General features: G+C 36.8%; 1 protein-coding gene and 1 long non-coding RNA gene across 7 annotated transcripts in view; one reads left to right on the top strand and one right to left on the bottom strand.

Moving 5' to 3' along the window:
• UNC13C (unc-13 homolog C) overlaps window positions 1-17,001 on the bottom strand; it is a 795,839-nt gene that overhangs the window by 646,947 nt on the left and 131,891 nt on the right. For 2 of the 6 annotated variants that reach the window (NM_001329919.2, NM_001080534.3), the window contains exon 1: window positions 7,567-8,053. The exons of the other annotated variants lie outside the window; for them this stretch is intronic. The gene's annotated coding sequence lies outside the window, so the exon portion shown is untranslated. Of the gene's footprint in view, window positions 1-7,566; window positions 8,054-17,001 lie in introns of those variants that run through there. 6 annotated transcript variants of the gene reach the window in all.
• Window positions 2,338-9,144, top strand: LOC124903495 (uncharacterized). Its single transcript, XR_007064646.1, has 2 exons — window positions 2,338-2,839; window positions 8,949-9,144. It is a non-coding gene; the product is annotated as an uncharacterized LOC124903495 (long non-coding RNA).

The following is a 17,001-nucleotide window of genomic DNA, read 5'->3' as shown; positions in this document are numbered from 1 at the left end:
GTATATTTCTAAAACAACAATCAACAAATAATATCTTGCCAGTAGGGCCTGAGTTACAGAGAAGTGGAATCAACTATAAGAGAAATTCATCCAGGCTTATAGTGTCAAGTATCTTAAGAGAAATGTAATACAAAATCGAGAAACAAAAGGAAAACTTACAAAGCTAGGCTCAAATTTTATCTCAATAGATTCTAGAGTTGACCCCACACTTTGTCTCTCCTAATTGGCATTCCCTCCCCATTTCAAGTTCAAACAAGGACTTCAAGACATATTTTGCTCAGACCTTTTGTTCACTCTTTGAGAAATTTTCTTCCAACATAAAATATCACAGGTGAGTGTACTTGTCTATAATGAGGCACACTGCCTCCTGTCTTGAAGTAGATAGATGCTCTAAGAATTTCCCCAAGAAAACTTAAAAAAAGACCATTGGGGATTCCTCCCTGGATTTCTTTCCATAATTGTGGCTATTGAAAAATCCACTGGGAGCTAGATGCCATCAAGCAGGACCCACAGTAGTAGAAACAACAACATAAACACATTCGATGTGCTCAGGAGGGAGGTAAATGAAAGTTGAGATTATCAGCTGGAGTCAAAATGGGAAGATTTAGACCAAAGGAAGAGAGGAAGGATAAGGGATACACACCCAATGAGGAAAATATTGTTACTACAAAAACCAGACGAAAGTAGTAGTCTCAGAACCCCCTGATCAACAAGAGGAAGACAAACGCCACAGTGAGTTGACATTGACCTATAATGTGACATGGTTATGACATCAGGTAGGCAGCTCCCCTACTAATAAAAATCCGTCTTCCACCACTCTCATAGCTATACATCTTCTGCCTTTCAGTGGTTGTGTTCATGAGCTACATGTACACTAGATCCTGACATTCATGTTCACCACAGTTACTGAAATCAGGAGCCTGAAGAGTAAGAATAAATCAGGGTTGCTGGTCAGACTCTAATCTCTCTTCTTGTTCCCAGGAGCAGGTGGTAGACAGTTCATGTATACATATGTAACACATGTATACTTAACACATGTATACATGTATACATAGTAGCACATGTATACATATGTAACAAACCTGCACACTGTGCACATGTGCCCTAAAACTTAAAGTATAATAATAATAAAATTTAAAAAAAAGAACCAAGAAAAAAAAAAAGAAAATGTGGCACATATACACCATGGAATACTATGCAGCCATAAAAAAGTATGAGTTCATGTACTTTGCAGGGACATGGATGAAGCTGGAAACCATCATTCTCAGCAAAATAACACAGGAACAGAAAACCAAACACCACATGCTCTCACTCATAAGTGGGAGCTGAACATTGAGAACACATGGACACAGAGAGGGGAACAACACACACCAGGGCCTGTTGGAGGGTGGGGATTGAGGGGAGGGAACTTAGAGGATGGGTCAATAGGTGCAGCAAACCACCATGAACACGTATACCTATGTAACAAACCTGCACGTTCTGCACATGTATTCCCGTGTTTTCTTTAGAAGAAATAAAGAGTAAAAAAAAAGAAAGTCGCTAAGATTTGCTGCCATAACACTATGGAAAATACATATAAGCTTATATTAGAATCTTGGGGCAATTGATTTAATCAGAAATAGGCTGTCCAAAACAATCCCAATTTGCCATAAATGTGCTGATACAGTCATTCCCATTTTAGGACACAGCAGAGGTTTCAGTTTGCTTCTGACTTGAATTATTTTTCTTGTTATTTCCAACTTTGCATATCATACTCTTCTTCCCTTACCAGTCTTTTTGTCTAATAACATGTACATTTCAAATATAAAAGCAAATATTTACTGAGCATTTATCTTCAATACACAGATAATGACAAATTTACAGCCAGTGCTCACTGAGAACTTCCTTTATATTATTTAACTTAATCCTCCCGTAAACTCTGTGAAGCAATGGTCTTTATAGTGTCATTATTTTCTAGTTGAGAATTCAGATGCAGAAATTTTAAGTAACTTGCCAAAGTTTGCACAAACACTGTACTTAAGGGATTTATTCTCTAGCTAAGGCTTTTAAAAAGTAACATGCAAAAATATAGGTTTTAACTGTAATCCAAGACCAAAGAAGAAATCTCATAAGACAGTGTATGATGCATTAGTAAATCAACCAGACAAATCATTTACTACTGTGGAATTGTATAAAATGTCAGTATCTGGAAACTGTGCATAATCTGTCTAATTGGGGCAGAGATTGGATAAGGAAATAGAAAAAGAGATAAAGCTGGGAAGGCAGTCAGATCTGGTTGTAAAAAAAAATATTTTGCCATACTAAGTATTTAAGGCTTTAGTTTATAAGCAATATAGTGTCCTTGAAAATTTTTGATCAGGGAGTGACATATGTCATGTTCAAAGCATTTTTTAGGACAATGAATTTGGCAGTAGTATGCAGAACAGATGCTCAGAGAAAAGAATCATACAGATAAAACAATTGGAAGATTCAAGCAGTATTCCAGGCGTAAAGTTATAAGAACTTGAACTAGGGTAGTGTTAATAGGAAGATAACAGAAGACATGGCTGGAGACCAAGTGTTAAAGAGAAAACAAGAGTAACTGAATATGAACCATGAGAAAGGATAAGGCAGTGAGGATGATTTGAGATTTGGGTCTGAGAAGCTGAAGCAATTAGGAAGAGGAGCTGCTTGAGAGACCCAGAGCTGAATTTCTTGACTTTTGAGACATGTTAGTGGAAATCCTGTCAAAGAGGTAACAGAGGCTACTGAAGAAATTCAGGTCACCGAGACAAAAAGTAGAAAGAGAGTATCAGGAATGTTCCCACTCAAGGCCAAATGGAGAATGAAAGCAATTACGGTAGGCAATTTTTTTAATTTGCTGTATTTGTTTATCAAGCATTATATTTATTATTTAAAAAAATATGCTCTTCAACCACTCTCCAGTAATACTGTGGCAAGTTTTTGTGTAATTAAGCAAAATCTTCTAATTTTAGGGATTATTTTCTAAAAAGAATCAAGTATTAATTTTTACATATATGAAGTTATCCATATATTTTGCCTCCTACCAATCAACCTTCTTTGAAAGTGACAAGGAAATATAAATTTTCCTTAGGTCTGAGAAGCTTCATAGTTAAATTTCCCCTTCAGCCACGAGAGCTCCCTGCAGCCCTCTTTTGTCTAACATATTCTCATTGAGTGTGCCAATCCAGAGAGGAAGGCACTGGAGAGAGTCAATCTATTCCAGTAACTAAGTACAGTAGGTACATATTCTTTACTTTTAAAAGCATTGTTCCACAAATGACTCTTAAAAAGTTAGCAGCTAAGTATCCTAATGCTATTTGTTTCTTGTTAACGAAGTAGCAGTACTTCAACATCTATCACAGCTACAGCAAATATTTAATGAGTCACAGTAAAGAGCCTTATACAAAATGTGCAGTTCCATGGATTATAATTAAGCCAATACTTCTGCCTTGTTGTCTGAAGGAAAACAAGTTGACAAATTTCTTACTCAATTCTAAAACCATGAACACTGTTTCTTCAGTTTATCAGGTAGACAAATGCTATTCACCAAGCCTCTGGCCTCTCAGGAGAAGCAAGTCAGAGTCAAGTAATTCTGTAGCTACATTTGAAATGGAGTCAAGCCTACAGAGTCTGCACAGTGCAGTTTTTATAGAATCTCTGAGTTGAGGAACTAGAAGCGATCTTCATGAACATCTAACCAGTCCAACAGACAACCAAGGCTTACAAAGAAAATGATGGCCAAAGTTCACCCAGACAATTGGTGACTGAGCTAGGATTTGATTAATTACAGTATTTTCTATGAGACAGGAAAAAGCACTGGACTCTTGTTGGAATGTGTCATTAATTCTCTAGCTTTATCTCACTGGTAATTTTTACTTAAGATTTCTCATTAATAAAGCAACTATTTAGACTTTTTCAGTTGTGTGCCACTTAACAATGACATGATTCAAAATACAACCCTTCTTCCTCCAGTTATTCTGAGACCATATCATCAGTGCCCCCTTTCAGAAACGTGCTTCAGGGAATGTGCCTAAGCCATTAGTTCTTCCCACCTATAAAGGAAATAGCCACCCACTCTGTCCAATCACTGCTCTTTTTCTTTTATATTTTACATGCTTCGAGAAGCTACTTCTAGAGTAAATAATTTCAACTTATAAAACACATGAAGCAAAATATTTTCATGCAAAACACTTTTTCCCCATCAAAAAGACATATTGCACCCAGATTCTCAAGAACCAGAAGGCTCAGAAACAAAGTATGTTTTATCCTGAACGCAGGATTTGGGCCAACAAAAATTGGCTGTTGGGAGCAAAAGACAGGCTGAAGATGGGATTGTGAAAATGTAGGGAGACAAGAAAATATTTGAAAGGGAAGCCCATCTTTTATGATTACTTTTTAAAAATACTTCGAAATCTCTGAGTACAATTTATAATGTTGAGTTCCTATCTTTCTATCTAGCATTTATTTCTACAAAATATTTTCTTAACTGTTTACATAGGAAGAATAATATAAAACTCTCTTCCATATCAAGATTATAATTAATTTCTGTATGCTGAGACTAAAATATACAATATGACTAGGATATAAAAGAGATGGGAAACATTTATGCCTACTGCATCACAACCATTTTGACAAGAGATGGAGAAACGATTCAGTGTGTCTTATTGTCTACTTCTCCTCTGGGGGACTTTTGACCTAGAGGTTAGAATATTTATTCCTGTCTCCCTTCCTATGCCTTAAAAGACTACAAGTGAAACAAATACTGCTGTGGCATCCATTTTCTCTGTAGAGATTATAGAACCGGTGATCAGTCTTTTGCATTCTCAAAAGCTACAGATTGAGAGGGCTATTAATAAATCCTTTTTTTTAAGCTAGAAGAAAGTTGGAGCCTAGTGATCCAACCACAGACAACTTAAGATCCAGAAAGGATTTGTAATAACAACAGAAATACAAATTTGATACTTTGAATTTGCAATTTTTTGCTACAGTTATTCTAAATGCATATTACCAAATGAATTGATATTAGGTACAAACTATGACCTATTTAGAAAGTGGCTTTCTAGCTATAAAAGTGTATTTCAGAAACAAACTTGGCATGTATTTAAAACTCTTAAAATTTCTAGATGCAAAGCAGGATTGTTTTTCTTGGGTGACAAAATGATTCTAATGTCTTCAAAAATTCTAGAGAATGCCTTTCCGTAGTAAAGACTATGGGATGGAAAGAATGAATAACAGAAACATATATGTTGAAACTGGAAGACAACGTACAGGTGGCATAATACTTCAGAGAAGTTATGGCAGGGTTTATGCATTGCATTAGCTGAAAAGGTTAACAGAAATGAAAGTGCCTGGAGAATCGGGGAAAAGATATTATCATACCAAAAGTGTCTGATATTACAAAAAACAGAGGTTTGCCCTAAATCAGCAGACAACGAAGTACGTTCTCTTCTGCACTGACCTTCCTCCCAACCCCACCTAAGCCCCAACATACATTTGGTGTGTTTTGTCTTTAAAAGGGGAATCACTGCAATTATCCTGTGTTTCCAATGACCCATGGGCTCTTAAGCAACTAGTTCTGTGCACCACAAACTATATTGCTTCACATTTAAAGATTAGCAACCATAGCAAGTTATTATATGGCCTGGAAAGGAAAACAGTTTACTTTATTAACAATAAGCCCATGAAAAGTGATTTCTCTAGGCTTTGCTAACACTTTACCTCGTATTTCACCTGGGCATGAATTTACCTAGCACATAGTGATGATGATCTCTGGAAGGAGTTTCCAGATTTCTTTAATGGAGGTCTAACAACAAATTATTGAATGCTAGGAAATAAACCCTTACCTACTATCCACCTTCAAATTTTACTGAAAAAACATTGGCAATTCTACTGAAATTACTTTCTCAACAAAATTCCATTATAGTTTGAAAATACAATTTTGTAAATTAGAGTTTCAAATATTCTTTTAGATGATCCTTGATCAGTTTATTAGTTTAAAAAATTACTTAATGGATTCAGTAAAATTACTGCTATAGTGTTTCACCTACAGACATCATAAGCTTCTTTATACAAGATGTCAACATAGAAGAAACACACAATGTTTTTCACTCCCTACTAACAAACATAAACTTAATACTTTGCTCATTTTCTAAATCACTCCTCTGGTATCAAGAATTGCCTATACTTACCATATTTTGACATTGTTGTTGTTATAGTCATGCGTGGAATTTTAAAACAAATGATTTCCTCATTTTGTTTACGGCCTAAGTGCTCCAGATAGCTACCATTTGGCAAAAATGAGGTTTATAGTTTTCAAAGAGCAGGGTGGTGATTTACTTTACAGTATGCATAAATGACAATTTAAAGCCCACTTACCTCTATTGCATTTGAACTTTTTAATCATAAGAAAGTGGGAACAACAATAATTAAAAGCCAGGGTCCTAGAGCTTTGGCATTAACTCTGTGTTAACACTAAAAATCTATTAAATATTTTATATATACAAAAATGTAGTACTTTCTCATTCTCGTTTCTCCCCTCCAGAAAATCTCATTTAATATAGACATATGCACATTTAATTTATTGACAATTTAACCCACTTTTATGAAAAGTATTGATGAGCAAAAGGTGGTAAGATGATTTTCTAAAAATCATTAAGTTTTTTATTAATTTCAAAATTATATAAACTTACAATTTTAGCTTCTTAAAGAAATGCAGAGTATTTTAAAACTAATCTTTATAAGCATTACCCACCCTCAAACCTCTTTCCTGTTTTTCCTTAAAAGCCTAACGAGGAAAATTGATTTTTAAGTGTTGTCATCTCCGTCTAGGTACTAAAGACAGCCAACATTACTATTGTTGTATATCTGTCTTACTCTTGATGATACAAGTATATTGATGATGTAATTGCAGAAGTTAGGGTTTACTCATGCTGTTGGACCAAAGGGATTTTTTTAGACTGCCTCCTTGAGCACCACAGAACAGTTGTAAAACAGAACCAAGCACACAATTTAAGCAATTCATCTCTTGAAAGTAAATCTGCAGGATCTTCTTCTTGAAGAACTGATGAAGAGCTAGAAATAAAAAAATCATTGGTAAAGCTTCTTTTGCTTCAGACTGGATGCTGAGCTGGAAAAACACTTGGGTGACACACTAGTGTATGACATCTTGGCTTTTAACCCTTTCCTAGAAGCCCTCAACTTTTGTTCTCTGTTGAGCTCTATTTTTTTCTTCCAAAATTCCGAGGGGTTATGGAATATCCCAGCCTTTCATCTCAACCCTATTTGTCCCTATGTAGATATTCTCCTGAAAGTTGACTGGAAACTAAGCAGTCATTTATCATTCTGAATTCTTTTTTTAAAAGCAATGACTGAGAAGTCATGATGCTCCATAGAATCATGTACATTATAAAAACAGGAGAGCCGAGATTTTACAAATATATCTGCTACGCTAAGAGAACCCCATGGTTGTGATTTCCAAGTGCAAACAAAAAGAAGGGACAGGAAAATACAGACAGAAAATCGCATGCAGATGAAGCAGTGCGTGCAACGGAGGAAAGAACATACCTGAGGAATTCTCCTTTAAAAAAAAATGTGCACGCCAACTGGGTTGTTCTTCCCCTCCTTTTGGAGTGTATGTGTTTTCCTTTTAGGAACACCACTTGCAATTGTGTTTCTAGTCTCGTTTCCTTTTTTCAATCACAAATAGTTAGAACAGGAGTGGAAGCTGCGTCCCAGGGATCCGACTCGTGCAATCAGGCATGCCTTGGTCTGCAACGGTGTCTGTTCTTTTCTTGTCAATTCTATCGCACTCCCGGGTAGCCTCCGAAGCAATTCTACAACTTAGCTGCTGGCAAGAAACTGCCTTTCACTCTTCTCATTGCCAAATACCTTCCGCGGCTCATTTCTCATCTCTTTCTCCCAGAAAGCAAAATGGGATCTCTCCCGTGTGTTGAGGAGCGCCCAGGCTCATCAACATTTGAGGGTGAGGAGCAGCCGGGCTGAGTGCGTGCTGGGAACTTCACACATCGCCGGCTGCGGCTGAGTCTTTTCTGAATGCAGCACCGGCACTGCGATCCCCAGCCTCCTCCACCGAGAGCGCCCGGGCTCCCTCTCCTGCCGCCGTAGCACGGCGTAGCTCCGAGAGGGTGAGCTACAGCCCCTGCTCACAGGAGACGCACTGTAGCCACTGCCAGGTGTGGCCTTCACCACCGCACTGACAACTAACTGTGTGGGACACAGCTTCATCGCTGGGAGACGCCTGAATGCCAGAGCTTCCTCAGCCTATCTTCCCTTTATCGCTGGATGATGACCTAGGAGACAGTCATGGCCAATTCTGCCAGTGGAATAGCGTGGATAATACTAAATTACCCATGTTATTCAACAATGACTGTTTTAGATGTACTTGACTGTACTTGGAATTATGAAAGTATACCGCACACAGTATCATTCCCTATTAGCCACCAAATGCAGCTAACAGGACCCTGTATTTAAATAGAGGAGATACTGATATCCCATCCCAGTTGGTTTTTCCTCTTATTTTTGTGGAAAACCATTTGAAGGTGATTCCTGAACAATTTCAATTAATGACACATGCATAAATCAAAGTGGGAAATGATGGGTAACTTACAGTGATGCAAAGGTTTTTCTTCTCACTTAGGAATAATGTCTTTTCATTTGATGTTAACATTTTAAAGATCTGGCTGGGAATTGAATGGACTTGCTTTCTCTTTTAGTTTTGCTGAGTAGAGGAGGTGGGGGGAGTAACAGTTCCCACTTTCCATCAATAAAGCATTTTCAATCCTCTAATCCTCCTGTTGAAACAAATAAAAAAGTACTGAATCTTAAAATACAGCCTTAAAGCAGCTTGAGGCCTGAAATAATTTGGAGGTTTTAAGCTACATCTGCTCTACTGCTTACTTAAAATTTTACTTTTCTTTGCTTTTTAGAAAATGGAAGGATATTTCCAGGACTGAAGAACGTCAACTAGCAGCTGTGGTTAAACAGTATAGGAAGCATATATACAGATTTGTATGGCATTTTTCAGTACATGGAGGGATGAATATGTCTTGACTGACATTAGAATTGACTCCACCTAAATATTCAATAATAATAGTTGCCATCAAAATAAACAGTTAAACCGGATATAGCATTTTGTGGCAAAACTTGTGGCAAAACATTTCACCTACCGTATGTGACAACCAATAAATAACCTCTCCATGATGTTTAAAAAAGTGTCCCCAAATGTGACACAATATATATGTTGGGTACTAGCAGCTGAGCCCTCCCCATTCCCAGCTATCAGCCCCACCTTTAATTCAGAGCAGCACAGCTTCCCTTACCCGCTGCTTAAGTGACTGTTAATGGACCTGAGCAGCTGCTCAAGGTCTAATGATCTGCATCAGGGGCAAGTACCAGGGCAGTCTTATTCCTGCCTTCACTCATCACGGGAGTGGCAGGCAGGACAAAGCTCTGCTGCCCCCGGCTGTAACACTGGAGAGTAGCACAGGAAAACCGGTTAGACCTAGAAGCACCTGATAGGGCGAAACTTGACTTTTTTATACAGAAAAACTCATGCTAGCCAATACACTATTTTGAAGAACGTGTTTTAATACATAGAGAAAAGAACACCTATTCACTGAATCTGTTTTCACTTTTTGGTGTGAAATAACCACTGCAAAGTACAGAAGCTGTGGTCAGCTGAGAGACCCTAGCACCCAGAATAAGGTAAATGTGCATACGTCTTCAGTAAATTTGGATTTAATGTCAGTGATGTAAATGTTTAAACCTACAGAAGGAAATAAATGAAAGATGATTCTAACCATGAGCGGTCTATAAAACATGTATGTAGGAAAATTAGCCAGACTTGGTGGCGGGTGCCTGTAATCCCAGCTACTCAGGAGGCTGAGGCAGTAGAATCACTTGAACCTGGAAGGCGGAGGTTGTAGTGAGCCAAGATCGCGCCATTGCACTCCAGCCTGGGCGACAGAGCAAGACTGAAAAAAAAAAAAAAAAAAGAGAGAGAGAGAGAGAGAGAAAGAAGAAAAAAAAACACCATGTATGTAGTGCCATGAAAAGTTTGAAAATATTGCTCTAATTCAAATATTCTCGTAGAGGAAATGAATCACACCAGGGGTGGTAATCATTAGTTTTTATTGGAAAGAAGAAATAATGTTTCATGAATGCTTCGATGCCAGCATGTGTGTTTTAATGAATGCAGTGCTAAGCTCTAATAATCAGGATTCTGGTCATATATTTCAAAATGGAAATTGTTTACATCTCTGAAAGTGGCAGGAAACATGTATGTGAGGGACTCTGGCTGCTAATAAAATATGTTGCCGTTAGAGTGACAGAGCTTTATGACTTTATTGACCTGCAGGGACATCAAAATCCCTAGTAGAAATGTTTTGGCTTTTGACGAGTAGTTTTCACTACTGAGTACCTGATTTGAATAATGTGTAATTACAACGATGAGATTTCAACAGTAAGAGCCACATTCTTATCAGTAAGATGCATTCTGTTTCTACGGAGCTTTTCAAAGTCTTGAATTAATAACATTAAACAACACAGGATAAGAAGTAATTTCTATTTATACACTCACCCCATCCATAGGTACATGCCTCAAAACTTATAGATGGTTGGATTAAATAATAAGATCATTTCTCCTCCAAATGCTTCAGCAGTCATTTCAGAAAGAATAAAACCTCTAGGGTACCATTCACCTCTCATACCCCAAGACATAAGCTGAGCCAGATCATTTGTCTCATTTATGGTTCAGGTGGAAGAAAAGCAAGGAACCTGGGTCACTGCTTATTTTTTAGTACAGTAGTAGTGAAGCTTGACTAAACCAAAAGAATCAAGTAAAGGGGTCATTCTTGTAGAATTGTGTCATGGCCTGTATATCTGGCTTTAAGCAATAGAGGAATCCTTGAAAAAGCATAAACCAATCCTGTGTGCATGGAATTGTGTTTTCAGTGTTTTAGAAAACCTCGATCTTTATTTTAGGGAATTGGTAACCAACCATTGAACCTCACTATTATATTTTTTAAAAAACAATACTCTGACCAATCATTGGCTCTCTGTTTCCATGCAAATGGATTGGCAAAATGGATTAGTTGTCCAGATAATTACGGAGAAAAATATGATTATGTTTAAAACAGCAAGTTGGCATTTCTAGCTCTATATAAGTAAATAATGTATAGGAGAACGACTATTTGGAAATAAACCATCTTATGCAATTTGGAAAGATGTGCCTAGCATAGATTACATGGTAGTAAAACACACGTTAAGTTCTGTTCTTAAATTAAAGCTTTCCATTAAAGTATGGGTCACTTTAAAATGGCACTTTTGAGTAGAATTGACAGTATGTAACTTTAGAGACTAGGCCACATAAGGTACTGCCACTTCCTGTTTGCCCACTCTGGTTTGCTCACTCTGGAGGAAGTTAGTTGCCATGTCATGAGGATACTCAAGCAGCCTAGGGGGAAGTCCACGTGGCAAGGAACTAAGGACTCCTGCCAACAGCCAGACACAAACTGTGACCTCCTGCCAACAGGCATGCGAATGAGCCATTTTAGAAGCTGACCCTCTAACCATGTTCAAGCTTTCAAATGACTGCAACCACTGCTGACATGCTAAATGCAACCACATGAGAAACCCTGAGGCAGAAAAACCCAGGTAAGCTATTCTCGAATTTCTGGCCCACAGGAACTGTGAGATAATAAATGTTCATTGTTTAAATGAAAAAAAAAAAAAAGTGCTTTTGACTTTTCCAACTGAGGAATGAGATTATTTTTCAACTGTGGGATTTAAATGCATCTAAGTGATTTAAGAAGTAAAATTTTAGGCTCAACAAATTCTGTCACAAGATATGGATGCTGTACTTCTCCAGTCAGTATTGGCAGTGCCTTCTAAGCGCTTTCATAAATCTCTGTTGTGGCACTGATTTATTATACAGTATGCTAACTACTATTTTACTCATCTGCCTGATTTTCCTTGCTGGACTGCGAGCTCCTTGAGGGCAGAGACCATGGTTCATTCATTTTTATATCACCAATGCCCAGCTGAAGGCTAGACTCATAAAAGGTAGGTTGATGAGTGAGTGAATAATAGTGTGCTTGCTTAGTAAAGCACAGAGTTAATGAGGCTAAGGACACGGGTTGAGTCCCTGTGTAGCCAATTAGCTTTGTTCTATTTCTTGGTCCAAATGGTGCCCTTAGTTCTCACCAGCTGTCTCACAAATTTGTGCCAGAACAAACCTTCTAACTATATATTCCAACAATAGTGAGTCAGTAACACAATAATAGTGTCTAAAACTTAACACCCTTAAAAGTGTTATTACATACATTTTCTTATTTGATACTTATCTTTAAAAACTTGCAAAACATTATAGTAGTATTATATGGTTCCCATATTGTAATGATGAAACAGGCTCAAAGTCTTGCAAGACTTATCTGGTTGTACAGAACTAGTAAGTGGTTAAGACTGGATTAAAAATCAGGCCTTGAACGTCTACTTCAAAACTGGTTCCCCTGTAAAGCAGACAAGTATTTACTTATACAAGCATAATAAATGGCACAATCTGTAATTTTTTGAAAAAAATTAATAATTAAATGGAGTAAATTATTCAAGCAGACACTTTTTTAGAATATTTCTGCTTGGGTAATGATTGTTAGACTTTGGATAGATATCATTTGATGTTGAATGCTGTTTGGTGGGACGGCATCTATACTTTCATTCTGTTGTTCATTTTTTATTTCCTTCAGTAAAATTAAAAATGTGTCAGCACTGTATTCCAGCAAATCATCAGATGAAGGGACTTTTAAAGAGGTTCTAAATTTTTTAAAAGACACAGCATTTGGATGACCTCAAGTAAAAATTTTTTTTCCACTTTTTGGATTTTTTTTTTTAATTTTGTTGATTCAGGAAACTGATTTAGTGATATGGCACAGCATTGAAGAGCTCAGACTCTGAAATCAGGGTGCCTGGTTTCCAATTTGGGCTTTAGCAAGTACTATTTTTCTGACTTTAGTAAAGTTTCTTAACATTTCTAAGCTTGCTTTATCTGCAAAATAGGTATAAATGTAATTTCTATTTATACTCTTGCTGATGAATCAAATGAGATAATCCATGTAAAGCAACTTAGATAGTATATACTTATTATGTAGTAGGTACTCAATAAATATTAGCTAGCAATAATCAATATATTAAACTTCTTACCAAATATTGTCATTTTCTACTATAATCTGCCCTCCATTCATAATGGCGACGTTTCCAGAGGAGTAAATGTTTTAAAATTCTTAATAAGTTTTAGAATACCAAAGAGCCATTCTTTGATTCAGAGTTCCACTACTTTCCACCTGTATGGCCATATGCTATTTATGTAATCTCCCTGAGCCTCAGTTTTCTGTATGTGTTCAATATGTCTATTTCTTTTTTCCTTTTCTATTCTTTACAGATTTCCAAATGCAAATTTCAATTTGGCTTGACAAAAATGAAAACTATAATCTTAATAATTCATATTCTCACTAAATGTCTTATGTACATTAGACATTTTTCCATGCTTGACAATAAAGTTGATGTATATATTGAGCAATCTTGTTCAATATTGGAAAGGATGAATGTCTTAAATACGTATGTACACAGTGATAAATGATCATTGGGTTTTTCTTCCAAGAAAACAACAATGACTTCCTTTCCTTTTTTTGAAGGCTAGAGTACAAATGTGAATAACATCACATGCCAATCATTCAGGAGTTATTCAATATGCACTGATGACCCCAAGAGCAGTGAAAATAACCGTGACAGAAGCTTCCTGATGACTGGGTGAGAATTATTATTGACCACAAACTGCATGGATTCAAAATTTTGTGGCGATGTCCTTTGTCTAACAGGTTTTTAGAAACTATATTTGGTACTAGAGATATTTTAATTACCCAATTTCTTGTTATAACCAAGAATCATACTGAAAGACCTTTCCACCTAACTGCCTACTATGTGTATAAAATGTGAAGCAAGTCAAGAACATATTTCTTTGAAATGGTCTAAAATATTTGTATCAAAATAGATCCACATAGAGCACTTTATTTAATATGATTGGACATAGCATCCTTTCTTTTTACAGGGTTTCAGATTCTCCCGTTTCCTAGTTGTTATCTCCAAAGAGCACGTCCACATGTTCTGTAGAGCCCAGAAGGGCAAAAGCTAAAACAAAACCCTAATTTCTGGTTTAGGGCCAGGGAAAAAGAAGCTCTTATAAGCATCGGAAGGGTTGACTCTAGGTCAGCTGTGAGCTAAGTAATGTTTTCTTCAGAACCCTTCACTGTCCAGGTCTTTGCCGTTTTTTCTCTCTCCTTCAGCAAACTCTTTGGTTACTTTGTCAATCTCTATTGAGAGAAAGCTCTATAAAGTACCAAAAGCTAAATCACAAATTAATAAAATATATCACATGGGAGGAAAAGGAAGTCAAGACAATGAACCCATAGTCATTTAAAAATAATTCTAACTGGTATTTTTGCAGTTGGTAATTTTGATTTATGAGTCATCTATAAAATGAAGGAAAATAAAGAGTGTTACCTATTCATGTTTTTGTTGTAAAAACCAAATGACTTAAAAATTTAAAGTACTTGACAGTATCAGCTGTTCCTTTTATCAACACCATCATTGTCATTTTATAAATAGGTGCTAGAGGAAGAGATACTTACCTCTGGAAATGCTAGAAGGGAACAGTATCTGATAGGATCATAGTAAGAATTAAAAGGGAGATAATAAAATCTTTCTCATATAGATGAATTTTCCAGTTTCCAGATATATTTCTTAAAAGAAAGTATACTTTTTAAAACTCCAGAAAGATCTTCTACTCTAAAATATTGCCCTCTTATAACACTGAAATTCCAACAGCTAGTAGAGACTTTAATGAATCATCCTATACTAAAAAATAAAAATACTTCCATTTTTATTTTCTTCCTGCAAATATTTTCTCCCATTCTGTTAGTTACCTATTCATTTTGCTGTTTCCTTCATCATACTGAAGTTTCTAAGTTTGATGTCTAATTGGTCTACTTTTGCTTTTGTTGCCTGTGCTTCTACTGTCATATTTAACAAATCACTGAGAAAGTCTTGAAGCTCTTCCCTGATGTTTTCTTCTAGGGGTTTTATAGTTTTATATTTTACATTGTAAACTATAATCCATTTTTTAGTTAATTTTTGTACATGGTGTAACGTAAGCATCCAATGTCACTCATTTGCAGGAGCATATCCAGTTTTCTCAACATTATTTGTTGAAGAGGCTGTCATTTATCCATTGTGTGGTTTGCCAACTTGAATAGACATTTCTCAAAAGAAGATATACAAATGCCCAATGAGAATATGAAATTATGCTCAACATCACTAATCATTAGAGAAATGCGTATCAAAACCACGATATTACTTCACACCCATTAGAGTAGCCATTATAAAACACACACAAAGAGAAAATAAGTATTGGCAAGATGTGGAGAAATTGAAGCCTGTGTTCACTGTTGGTGGAAATGAAAAATGGTGTAGCTACTATGCAAAACAGTAGAAAAGTTCCTCAAAAATTCAAAAATAGAATAAACATACGATCCAGCAATTTCATTTCTGGGTATATATCCAAAAGAATTATTATTTTTTAATCAACTTTTAAGTTCCAGCATCCATGTGTGGGGTATGCAGGTTTATTATATAGGTCAACATGTGCCATGGTGGTTGCTGCACAGATCAACGCAACACGTAAGTATTAAGCCCAGTATCCCTCAGCTTTTCTTCCTGATGCTCTCCCTCCCTCTGCATCCCCCAAACAGGACCCAGTGTGTGTTGTTTCCCCCCATGTGTCCATCTGTTCTCATCGTTCAGCTCCCACTTATAAGTAAGAACATGTGGTATTTGGTTTTCTGTTTCTGCATTAGTTTGTGGAGGATAATGGCTTCCAGCTCCATCCAAAGTAGGATCTCAAAGATGTATTTGCATAACTGTACTCAATGCCATATTATTCACAATAGCCAAGAGGTAGAAGGACTCAAATGCCCATCAATGGATGAGTGGGTAAAGAAAATACAGTATTTATATACAACGGAATATTTTTCAGCCTTAAAAAGGAAAGAAAATGGCAGAGTTCAGTGGCTCATGCCTGTAATCCCAGCACTTTGGGAAGCTGAGGCGGGTGGATCACCTGAGATAAGGAGTTTGAGACCAGCCTAACCAACATGGTAAAACCCTGTCTCTACTAAATACAAAAAATTAGCCAGGAGTGGCGGTGCATGCCTTTAATCCCAGCTCCTTGGGAGGCTGAGGCAGGAGAATTGCTTGAACCGGGGAGGCAAAGGTTGGAGCAAAGGTTGGAGTGAGGAGTGAGCCAAGATCACACCACTGAACTCCAGTCTGGGCAACAAGAGTGAAACTCTGTCTCACAAAAAAAAAAAAAGGAAAACTTGTCACAAGCTATAGTATGAATGAACTGTGAGCACATTATGCTAAGTGAGATATGCCAGTCATAAAACAAACAAACAAAAACATACTATATGATTCTAGTTATTTTAGATATCTAAAGTAGTAAACTCAGAAACAGAAGGCAGAAGAGTGGTTGTCAGGAGCAAGGGGAGGGGGAAAACAGAAAGTCAGGTAATGGGTATAGAATTTCAGTTTTAAAAAATGAAAAAGTTCTAGAGATCTGTCCCACAACAATGTCAATATACTTAACACTGTGCACTTAAAAATGTTTAAGATGGTAAATTTTATGTTAAGTGTATGGGATTTTGTTTGTTCGTTCGATTTTTTTTTTTTTTTTTTTTTGAGACAGCACCTTACCTGATGCCCAGGCTGGAGTGCAATAGCACAATCATGGCCCACTGCAGCCTCTAACTCTTATGCTCAAGCAACCCTCCTGCCTCAGCATCCTGAATAGCTGGGACTACAGGTGTGTGCCACCATGCCTGGCTATTTTTTTAAAAATTTTTTATAGAGACAGGGTCTCACTATATTGAC

The sequence above is a fragment of the Homo sapiens genome, chromosome 15 (assembly GCF_000001405.40).
Source record: "Homo sapiens chromosome 15, GRCh38.p14 Primary Assembly".
Classification (NCBI taxonomy): Eukaryota; Metazoa; Chordata; class Mammalia; order Primates; family Hominidae; genus Homo; species Homo sapiens.
The sequence above is the reverse complement of the archived record's forward strand: the minus strand, read 5'-3'. Positions and strand labels throughout refer to the sequence as shown.